The sequence below is a fragment of the Homo sapiens genome, chromosome 7, assembly GCF_000001405.40.
Source record: "Homo sapiens chromosome 7, GRCh38.p14 Primary Assembly".
In the NCBI taxonomy this organism is placed as follows: domain Eukaryota; kingdom Metazoa; phylum Chordata; class Mammalia; order Primates; family Hominidae; genus Homo; species Homo sapiens.
In genome coordinates this window covers 84117061-84129672 of record NC_000007.14, presented here as the reverse complement: position 1 = coordinate 84129672, position 12612 = coordinate 84117061, and the positions used below count along the sequence as shown (strand labels likewise).

Here is a 12612-nt window from a genome sequence, read left to right as displayed (position 1 = left end):
TTTCAGTTACTTATTCTAAAATGTCATGCTGAGATTTGTTTCAGGGAAATGTATCCAAAGCACCCAAATGTTAAAACTGCAAAATCACTATTTCATGATAAAGACTAATTTAGAAGAATCTGAGCCATATTCTATGCCAGTTTCTACTTCTCTTCACTAAATTCTCACGTTCTCTCAAGATCTCCCTCTCCCAATCTGTGTGCTAGTTCTTGCCATACTACACTGCTTAGATCTATTGTCTACACCAGTTTCTCTCTTGCTCAACTTTTATATATAGCAAAGGCTATTGGGTAGATGGAGAATCAATGACTTATGTTCACACCAATTAACTGGCGCCACTGGAAGGTCTAAAGTGAAAGTTTCCTGAAACAGTCTTTATGGAACTTTCTTTACTTCAGTTGCCCCAATGTCATCTAAAAGACTATATGGTGTTGGATCTCTTAGACAACTTAGTTGACATAAAACAATGTTTATTCTCTGTCCTTAGATTGTGTGGCCAGTATCTTACACCAGAAGAGATGAATGCAAGTGGGCTGGAAAAGACATCCTGGTAAGCATTAACCTACTAAATTATTATACAGGTTGAGTATCCTTCATTCAAAATGCTTGGGACAAAAGTGTTTCAAATTTCTGATTTTTTTGTGTGTGTGGGGAAGGGGTTAGAATCTTTTCATATATATAATAAGATATCTTTAGGATAGAACCCAATACTAAAAGCAAAATTTATTTATGTTTCATATACATAGTATAACCATAGCCTAAAGGTAATTTTATTTTTCCCTCGGGGATGCTGAAAAAAACTGTGCTGTGTGTCTGCATTTTGAATGTGACTAATCACATGAGGTCAGGTGCGGAATTTTCCACTTGTGGGTCATGTGGGTGCTCAAAAAATTTCAGATTTTGGAGGATTGCAGATTTCAGGATTTTGAATTAGGGATGCTCGACCTGCAGTAATTACATAAGTAATTTATTACTCTGTCATCTATTTTTGTTTAGTGTTCTGTGAAGCACCACATTTTACTTTTAAACTTAATCACCCTTGAGAAATAAAATGATAGTATTCAATTTTGGAACACTGACAGATTTATGTATAGAATGTATGTAAAAATAAGAATATTCCTTAAAGCAAAAATATGGTCTCTTTGGTTATTTATATATGGAAAAACTAATTAACAAAATGTGACTTTGTAGCATACATACTTATATTCAATAAGTCAACTTCTTTCCACAGGTTGATTTTCATGTTAATTCCCCTTGAATTCTTCTTGAAATGATATGAAATGTTTCCATTTCTGAGTCATAATTAAATTACGTATCTTTTCTTCTTCCCATTTTTTTCCTTTTATCTCCTCTTTCCTTTTCTTTTTCCTTCTCCATCTTTTTTCTTTCCTTTCATCCTTTCTTTCTTCCTCTCTCCTTTCCTTCCATGTATTCATCCTTTAAATAAATATGGGTTGAAAAAGGACCATGCAATAGGAATTGTCCTAGGCACTCTGGAGTGAAAGATGAATAGTAAGCAATCCCTACAATGGTTTTAGCATTGTAAAAAGATAGAGGCCATTTTTTGTAAAGTAAACTGTCAGGAAAATTAAGTGGGTGACTGGTTTGAGGAATAGCCCAGTATTTGCACAGACCATGAAAAGTAGTTTTATAATCATTTAAATAAATTAATTCAAATGAATTACAGAATTTTAAAAATATATAATTTTATATAATTTTATGTTTAACTGATATTTGGGGATGTTTAAAATACAAAGCAATATGTTTAAAAGTTTTATCTGTATTTAAAAGGATTTAGAATAAATGTATTCTGTGTGTTGCCTAAAGGCATAAATCAAACTGTACATGTGTATATAGATACATAGATATTTTCAAGCGACAACTTGATTGATTTGTTACAGTTGCCTACAATGATGTATATGTTTAGAAGGATTTAGAGTTGGAATCTGAGTTCCTGGGAAAAGACTGACTCAATCTAGCAGCAATGTTGCCTATAGGTGAAGGAAGTTAGATAAAGGATCACAAAGCACAGGTATCCCCCATCCTTAATACCTGTACATTAGCAAACATGGGAAATTCATCCTTGAAAATTATATATTAAACATATAGTTATTATGTTAAAATATTCATGACACGTATTAAAGATGGTAAGGCAGACTTTATTCAGGGGTACTGCTGCAATGAAGTTTTGTAATGGGGGTAAGAGATTGAGCTTAATAACAGGGTATGCTGAATACAAGGATAAGTGGAAATTTATAGCTAAGAAGCAAAGTGGGAGTCAGTGGGTGGAAAATTGCCAAGAGGAAACATCGGAGTAATGGGAATTGTGGATAAATTGATTAGGCAGGATTATTACTGAAGGCAGCCAGGGTGATAAGATATTGACAGTGAGGCAGGGCAGTGGGGCAGGAATTTGATCACACATATCAATGGTGGGAGAATTTCTGTAAACTGACTCAACAGGATTCTTGTGAAAACTGGACCAAGCGGAGATGAACATGGAAATCGGAAAGTCAGGGCCTTCTTGTGAAGAGAGTTCAGGAGAGTCTGACTAGAGTTAGGTAAGGAGAGAATCTGTCAACTGAAAGTCCCTTTACACCTTCATAGTAGAGCAAATGTTTTTCTGGTTATGTAACAGTGGATCAAAAAAAAAAAAGTGTGTTCTTCTATCAAATTTTATACTATCCCTAAATGATGCATAATTTGAAACTTCTGGAAAGGAGTAAATAGAAAGCACAATGAAGTAAGAACCCAGAGAGGTTGAGAATTTTGTGCTGATACCCCTACTGACTCATGAATGTACTGAGCAAGTATGCTAACTTTCTTTGGGCTTTAGCTTCTCATCTATTAAGTGAGACAACACATATATCACTGTGAGAAACAACTCTAATAGTTTTTGTGAAAATTATTTGAAAAGTAGAAAAATCTTCAATAATACAAGGCTAAAAGTATAATTGAACAAACAAAAATCTATTAACGTCAAAAAGCTACATTTTACCATTAACAAATTACATTAAAATATTCAGTGAGATAATACCTGAGGATGAATAGAAATGGCTAATTTACCTATTTATAGCTTTTAACACACAGATGATAAGTAATAGATTTGAACAAATATATTACCTTTTCTGGCTCATCAACAGTGTAAGTATGATGATAATCAACTCATCCGGGCGCGGTAGCCCATGCCTGTAATCCCAACACTTTGGGAGGCTGGAGAGGATGGATCACTTGAGGTCAGAAGTTCGAGGCCAGCCTGGCCAACATGGTGAAGCCCCATCTTTACTAAAAATACAAAAATTAGCCAGGCGTGGTGGCACATGCCCGTGGTCTCAGTTACTGGGGAGGTTGAAGCAGGAGAATCGCTTGAACCCGGGAGGTGCAGGTTTCAGTGAGCCATGATCATGCCACTGAACTCCAGCCTGGGTGACAGAGTGAGACTCTGTTTCAAAAAAAAGTAAAATAAAATAAATAACTCACACAATTCCTGTAAGGCTCAAAGGAACCCATGCAAAATATTACGTAACTGAGATATTAATAACTAACAATATAAATATAATGTTAGTCATTATTGCTATTATTAGTATATGTAATAGAGTAGTATGGACAATTTCTAAGTGAAAACATTGTTAATGAAATTAATTCAACACTCCTTAATGGTTATGACCACTGCAGTGTTTCATTGTTCTGAATTTGATTTGGTCTGAAAATTTAAGGTAATAACCATGCTTATCTAGTTATCTTACAAATTATCTGCATATTCTAATACAAACTGAAGCTTTATTTGATTTCACGACTGAATCAACCCAGTCAAGCATATTTGATTTCATAATTGGATCAACTCATTCAATGGCTGAGATAGCAGATTTAATTTGTGTTTGTGATTTCTAAAATTATTCACCTCAAGGCATTTCCCACATCTTTTATGGGAACTTTCTCCTCTCTCTCCCTCTCTATCTTTGCCTCTCTCTCCCTGTTATTAATACAAAAAACTAAGGGATTCTTGCGGTTAGCCCAGATGTAGTTAGTTCAGCAGCCTCAATAAACTAATGATCCACAAGGCCCTGTGGAGGATAATTTAATCACTTAATCATGACTTTAGAGATTCACCTGCATCAGCCACCTTAGTAGCTGGGATTACAGGTGTCCACCATCACATCCGGCTAATTTGTGTATTTTTAGTAGAGACAGGGTTTTGCCATGTTGGCCAGGCTGGTCAAGAATACTTTCAAAGAAGAAAGGCAACTTCATTGCATTTTCCACACTTACTAAAAATGTTTATGAATTTTATGGAACTTAATTAAAAGGATCTAAGACATGGAGTTTGCTGAATCTGATAGAGTGACACCAGATCATTTCACAGCACCTTGTAATAAAGATTCTGAAAAAATATAAATCATTATGATAGAAGTGCATAGAGAGACACACATTTTTAAAAGTGCAATGGTGTGATAACATTGCCTTAATAATGTTTTCAAAAATCAGTTAATTAATTAATTGTAACATTATAAAATATTTGTGCTTTGGTATTTCTTCATATTCTGCATTAAATCAATTCAAGATTTTGAATTTTCTCCATTATGATTTATATAGTGAAAGGAAAACAGAAGTTTTTATATATTTTATTTCAAGGAAAAATATATTTTTCTTCCAGCTCTACTCAATGTTAAAATGTATTTCATACTATTTTGCTGATAACCCTTATAGATCCTTTAATATTGCTTTTCATACATTTTTTATGCAAGATATATTTTATTCATTTATAATTTTATTAAAATTTATTTTAATTTTCAGTTAACCTCATTTAAGTAATGCCTCAGTTTACATATTTTGTGCACTTCAAGATGATTCATGGCATTCATTGGTTATTTTTGGATTTTAATTTACAGATGCAATTTTTGCATTTCTTTCTTAATATATGATTTTAGAAATAGCTATTGGATGGATCCCTGGGATTTGTAACATCCCTTCCTTAATAAACATAAGAAAATAAATAGCATTATTATTTTTAACAATGATTTAAATAAACAATAAGAAATAAATATTAAGAAGAAAGAGGCTTTTTCTTTCATTTGACACCTGATTTGCAAAGTGACACAACGGACAGTTTGATGGAAATTCTGCACTGTATCTTGGGTAAATAATAGTCAGCTGTGACTTACAGACAATAATTCCTTTCAAAGGGCTCGGGTAATACTGAAAACCACAAGAATGGATGTGAGTGGCTGTGGCAGCCATCAGGGCTCCAAGACAGAATTGTAACCAAAATAGGAACTGACCTGAACATTTATAGTAAAGTAAACAAACAACCTCCTTACTTGTTATCCCTGATTTCCGGAGCCTGCACTTACCATTTCCTACTGATTTCCTCGAAAAGTCCACTGGAAATGAAGTGCCTTTAAACAAGTCACACTGGGTAAAATGCTATCTCTGCAGCATCAGATTCAGATAGAAGGCTACAATAGGAAAAGAGGGGTCAAGACACTGGCTAATCTTATGCACTTTTAGAGTGGGCCATTCTTATGCCTAGTTAAGGAAAAGCTCATTCCTATGGCTATGACAACACAGTAAACCAGAAACCAGGACATGCCACTGGATTGAACCTACATAGTTTCTGTGTCACTGAGTATGGTATCATACAGAAAAGTGAAACGTCTCCGCATTCTCTCATGCAGCTGGGATAATATAACTCATCATTACTCTCTGCCGAGTTTTGCACCAAACACATATATTAAATCAGCAGCTGTAATTCAAGCAACTATTCCACAAAGAATGGACTTTGTTGTTAAAGAGGAAACCTGTAGCCTCAGGCACATAGTTATACTCTCTTGCTCTCTCTCTCTCTCATATATATATATCAGGTTATCAGATAAATATATATATATAAGGTTATCAGATAATATATATTAAACAATAAGAAATAAATTGTATATTTTAAATATATATATTTTATCTGATATATATAAAATATATGTTTATCTGATAACACTTATTGTTCTTTTAATATTGCTTTTCTATATATTTATATATTTTTTCTATATAGAGTGTGTGTGTGTGCCTGCGCATGCATGTACATGCATGTGCTGGTGATGACATTTCTGATATTCATCTACATTTAATTTTCTCTTGTAGAACTGAATGTACAGGATATAAAACAAATCATCATATTAATATGTCTTTTTTGGTATTGTAGATTCTAAACCTTCAAATTGCTGTGGCATTTTTAGCATTAGAGTAGTGAAATGCTTATGAATTTTTCCATTGCTGTTACTTGAGAGCTGTTATTTGAAAAATATATATATAATGCAGTATATAATACTGTTGGACAGAGACCCTGGATAGGGAAATAAATACAGTCGAGATACCTGTATTCTGGCTGCTGTTATTCACCGTTACTCCCATTTTCGGTATTTTTCTAGTGCTTAAAATTCAGTTGGTTATACACAGTAACATTTCTATTGATGGATTAACTTCATTGACCCTGTTTTGCAAATGAAAGCTGAATACATTCTAAGCTGGTAAAAGAATCTGTTTTGAATCAATAGCTCTCTGAATCTTCTTTGTTTATCCTACTAAACCATCTCTCTTTGCACTAAATTTCAGTAAAACCAAATGGCAACCGTATGACTGTTAGAAATATTTTGAACATCATTGGAAATCAAAATTTCAACCATCTGAGAGGAACAAAAAAGCAGACTCTCATAACATTCTGATTCTTGGATACATTTCAAAGTGTTGTATCATGCACCTGAACTTTGAGACTTTTTAAAATTCTTGAGGGATTTATTTTTATATATTTGTCCTTAGTTGTTACTCCTCTTAATGATATGATATATTATAATGTCTATCATGTTTACTGTGGCTCAAATTGCAGGACCTCAATAGCACTAATTTTTGCCAAGTGAATGCAATGAGAATTTAAAGCTGCACATGCATCTAAAGTTACAGTGCATTCCAAAATGCCTATGTCAACCCTTAAATTTCATTACTTTTTCAAAGGTCAAATTTGACATGAACTTTCAATTTTTTAAATTTTATTTTAGACATATTGAGACATAATAAAACTGTATTAAGTGGATAATTAGAATTACCTTCTAATTTGGGAGCCTATCAAATAATAAAATTACATTACATTTCAAAATCCTCATGTATAATTGTTGGAATATAGTTTTTCATGGGTCTTCACATTTCTCACATCTTATGAGCAGACGCCCTGACTAGCTTTTTGCATGCTTTTTTAAAAAAAGATCTCTATGACTTTTTAATGATTGCCATTCTAACTGGTGTGAGATGGTATCTCATGTGGTTTTGATTTGCATTTCTCTGATGGCCAGTGATGATGAGCATTTTTTCATGTTTCTGTTGGCTACATAAACGTCTTCTTTTGAGAAGTGTCTGTTCATATCCTTCGCCCACTTTTTGATGGGGTTGTTTGACTTTTTTCTTGTAAATTTGTTTTAGTTCTTTGTAGATTCTGGATATTAGCCCTTTGTCAGATGGGTAGGTGTGGAGAAATAGGAACAGTTTTACACTGTTGGTGGGACTGTAAACTAGTTCAACCATTGTGGAAGTCAGTGTGGCGATTCCTCAAGGATCTAGAACTAGAAATACCATTTGACCCAGCCATCTCATTACTGGGTATATACCCAAAGGATTATAAATCATGCTGCTATAAAGACACATGCAAATGTATGTTTATTGAGGCACTATTCACAATATCAAAGACTTGGAACCGGCCGGGCGCGGTGGCTCACGCCTGTAATCCCAGCACTTTGGGAGGCCGAGGCGGGCGGATCACGAGGTCAAGAGATCGAGACCATCCCGGCTAAAACGGTGAAACCCCGTCTCTACTAAAAATACAAAAAAATTAGCCGGGCGTAGTGGCGGGCGCCTGTAGTCCCAGCTACTTGGGAGGCTGAGGCAGGAGAATGGCGTGAACCCGGGAGGCGGAGCTTGCAGTGAGCCGAGATCCCGCCACTGCACTCCAGCCTGGGCGACAGAGCGAGACTCCGTCTCAAAAAAAAAAAAAAAAAAGACTTGGAACCAACCCAAATATCCATCAATGATAGACTGGATTAAGAAAATGTGGCACATATACACCGTGGAATACTATGCAGCCAAAAAAAGGATGAGTTCATGTCCTTTGTAGGGACATGGATGAAGCTGGAAACCATCATTCTGAGCAAACTATCGCAAGGACAGAAAACCAAACACTGCATGTTCTCACTCATAGGTGGGAATTGAACAATGAGAACACTTGGACACAGGGTGGGGAAACATCACACACTGGGGCCTGTCGTGGGGTGGGGGGAGTGGGGAGGGATAACATTAGGAGATATACCTAATTGTAAATGACCAGTTAATGGTGCAGCACAGCAACATGGCACATGTATACATATGTAACAAACCTGCACGTTGTGCACATATACCCTCGAACTTAAAGTATCATAAAAAATTGTTTTATTAAGTTTAAAGTAAGAAAAAGCTGTTTATACAGTTACGATAGTGTTTTTCTCTGAAGTAGAAGGCTGGTTTGCAAATGGTCTTGGGAAACAGAGTGTCTCCCTCTGGAGCAAAGGGCAGATATGCGCACTGTCCGGTGCAATAAACATAACATCTCCATCAATATCTAAAGGTCAGCATGCTATACCTATTATAAAATATTTAGGTTTTTTCATCCAGAGTTCCTCTCCTATAATGCAACTAACCACATGTATAGGTATTACCTGACCCTCTTCCCAATGCCCAGTGGAAATAGCACAAGAAATTCTAATACTCTAGCTAGCACTATTTTTGTGAGTAATAAAGTCCTTTACCTCTGAACCCTGAGTCACAATCTTTTGTTAGTATTCATGAAAGCCTGGTAGGCTAACTTGCTATCTTTACAAATAGGGTAAAACCCCAGACCCTTTATAATTTTTGAAAATATCGATTACAATTTTATGTGGACACTCTGCATAATCTTACAAATGAAAGAATATGGTCAGTTTATCCATTTTAAATATGATTTTCATCAAGAATTTTGATGGCACTTCAGTTGTACAGATAACTGATTTTTGATGAATGCCAGTAAATGCCTTATCTTATGAGCATAGATTTTCATATGTATGTACCTGTGTATGTCTGTATCTGTTTGTGGGTAAATATCTGGTACACTGAACTGAATAATTACAGTTTAACTGTAGCCTTCAGAAGCAGTGTAATAATATCCAACACTTATGGAGAGCTTGCTTTATACCTGGTATTGATCTAAATGCATTTTGTATGTTAACTCGTTTAAGTGACTCATATTTGGTTACAAGTCCATATTTCTTTTCAAGTAATTAAACAAGCAAATTTTGCATATAAGGTAAAAGATACATGGCAAATAAAACTTTGTCATTAAGTTTATTTCAGAAATTAGGTAGTATTCATATTTTGAATTAATACATTTTACTAATACAGCCAAATAGGTTGGTATTAATTATGTTTGAATTGCCATGAACCAAGTCTCATACAGATAAACTTACATTTTTGGAAATCTTTTAGGGTCAGGATTAAAATTTAAATGCATTTTAATTTTTTTTTTTTTTGGTAAAGTAAGGCTAGCATTTGAAATACAGACATTTTATAAACATCTTTCAGAAGATTTGGAGATTTTGATTTGTGTTCCTTTTTTACTGAAAATTTCAATTGCATCCTTAAGTGGCTGAAATGAAGATAAAATATTTGGCATTGGTTAACAAATTATTATTTAGATTTGACTGGACACCATAATTCATCCATGCATCAGTGTACATACTTTTAGAGTACAGTAAGTATTTTATACTCTGGAAGGTTTATTATCATGATTTGACCAGTTCCTTCAGGAAAAAAGATTTTGGCCAATATCTTCTTACCTCATATTTAGCAAGTTGATCCAAGTCCCACTGACACGTAGTTTGTAATACTTGTGTTTAGTATTCTTCTATATGTGTCTGATAATCTTCATAAGTGGATTTCTACTCATTTCTGAGAGTACACTGTCCATCATATTTTGTATTTAACATGGACTCTGATAATATTTTACTCAGACGTGTTATGTCTCAAGACAAATATGCCATCACCAACTTTTGACTATTTTCCTTTTACTTGACTTAGAAACATAAAAATCATTTGTGCAATAACACTAAAAATCATCAGCTTCTTATGTCCACAGGACATCATGAAACTTTCCCAAAATTCTGCCATTTAATTTTAATATACGTCTACTTACTTTTGGACTTTTTAGTTGGTAGCATGGAAAACAGACTGCAAAATTATGGTAGCTCTGAAAACTTGACACTATTTCTAGAGATGCAGAATCTTGACTTTTGGCTTTAAGAGCAGAAAATTCCTGAAGCTTCTCACTATTCCATTCAAATTAGGTGCAAAATATACTGTACTATCCATGCTATACATGGTGTTAAATGTAACTATTATGTATGCATACATGTGTGCATGTGTTTATTCCATATGTATTCAATGCTAAAAGATAGTTTTTTTAGTATTGTGCTTGAAATGATACCAAAATTAATATAACTTATTGATTATAGAATTTAATATGCACTTAAAAAGCAGAAATCATTCATATTTAGAAGTAAATAAAATTATTAACTAATGACCTTTAGTCATTAGTTCTTACAACAAGCATGTGTGTATTTTTAAATAGGCCAAATTTATGTTCCCTTTATATTACATATCACAATGAGCTAGTCTATGGCTGTAAGATATATCTTTTCATCATGGTTTTACCAGAGACCAACTGTGTGATTGATATGGAAAAAGTTTTATTATGGGAATTAGACCTTATACAATCATGAGAGCTGGTGAAGAACTCTATGGAAGGCTACTGCCTGAGACAGGTAGTGGGCGTGAAGTTGTTGTAGGTAACTACAGTTGTTTATGTTTATAGAGGAAAAGCCGAACATGAAGTAGGAAGAGCAAGGAGAACTGAGACCCACAATCACAAACTAAGACCATAGTGTCTTTTACTACCTCTAACTTTCTTTGGGTCGATTTGGGTGACTTAAAGAAGAAACTGATGTCTTTTGTCATGGAGCTATACAAGTATCAGGACTCAGTCTTGTAGAAACTAACAAATGAGATTTGGTGGAAGCCAGAGGACCTGGAGGCCCAGGTACTGCCCCACGCTAACAACGTGGCCAGCAGATCAGAACAACCTGGGGAGTGTAATGGTTGCAGCTTAATTTATACCTCCCAAATCTCATGCAGATTTTGTTGATAGCCAGCCTAAACCAACCTATAGAAAAGGGAATTTGAGGAAATATTTTTCCAGCTTATTTCATTTGGCACAATACAATTCTGCCACAGCTATTGACTAACACACGCTGTATTTGCTGTTGTGTTGAGAAAATGAATCCTGGCATTTTTACTGCTTTGATAACAAGAGTGATTATAATTTATAAGTCTTCACTGCCAGAGGACTAGGCTTTCATAGAAATTCTATTAAACAAAATGCAATTGCCCTTGGTAGCAGAAATGGGCACAGAGTAATACTCAAAACCAATTTTGTTAAATCTATCTCTGTTTAGCACCAAGTATAGGCTTAAACTCTATTAACTACATCCTTATAAAGAATGAACTATTCATAATGGAGCTCTTGTCGTAATTGGTGAAATGGCATAATATGTAGAAGAGTGTGAGAGTTAAGCAGTCATAGAAATATCCAAACAATAGTGAAGTTTAATTATTTTAAGAATTGGATAACCAGTTACCTATCAATTAATAAGCGCTAGTCATCATGTTAAGTAATTTACATGAATATATCATTAATCTCATTTTTAGTTGAGGAGACTCAGGCTCAGAGATTCTAAGTAACTTTCTTATAGTCACACAGCAAATGGAAAATGCCTGAATAATTTTAACCCATGTCTAACTGACTTTAAAGCAGTGGTTCCCCAATCTTTTTGGCACCGGGGACTGGTTTCATGGAAGACAATTTTTTCACAGGCCAAAAAGGGGATGGTTTTGGGGTGAAACTGTTCCACCAAAGATCATCAGATATTAATTAGATTCTCACAAGGAGACCTCAACCTAGATCCCTTGTATGCACAGTTCATAAAAGTGTTCACGCTCCTACGAGAATCTAATGCAGCAGCTGATCAGACAGAAGGCGGAGCTCAGGCGGTAGTGCTGGCCGGCCTGCTGCTCACCTCCTGCTGTGCAGCCTGTTCTTAACAGGACCCTGACTGGTACCAGTCTGCCTGGAGGTTGGGGACCCCTGCTCTAAATTGTAAGACTGAGATACAAGTAACTACCCCAATTTCTGTTTTACCATTATGAAATTGTTCGTTTTGTCCTACATGTTTTTTCTTAAAGTTTTTGAGAATGCCTTTTCAAATGCAAATATCCTTCAATAAGTAACATCTTTACTACATATCACTAAACATAAATAAATTTAAAAATTCCAAATTTCTGAAATTTAAATGTGTGCATAAATTATTTCTACAAGTTGATATATACATATGGTTTGCATACAAATATCCACATATATGTGCATATTTGGGAAGATTACGATATATGGACGATATTTGAAGAAATAGTAAAATTGTGCCAGAAAAAAATGAAATTTGTAAAATTTCCTTTTTAATA

At 34.6% G+C, this 12612-nt stretch overlaps 1 protein-coding gene across 3 annotated transcripts in view; it reads left to right on the top strand.

Annotated features, from left to right (window-relative positions):
- SEMA3A (semaphorin 3A) overlaps positions 1-12612 on the top strand; it is a 536949-nt gene that overhangs the window by 363053 nt on the left and 161284 nt on the right. For all 3 annotated transcript variants that reach the window (XM_005250110.4, XM_047419751.1, NM_006080.3), the window contains one exon: positions 488-550. In XM_005250110.4, coding sequence (XP_005250167.1) covers positions 488-550 — 63 coding nt within the window. The remainder of the gene's footprint in view (positions 1-487; positions 551-12612) is intronic.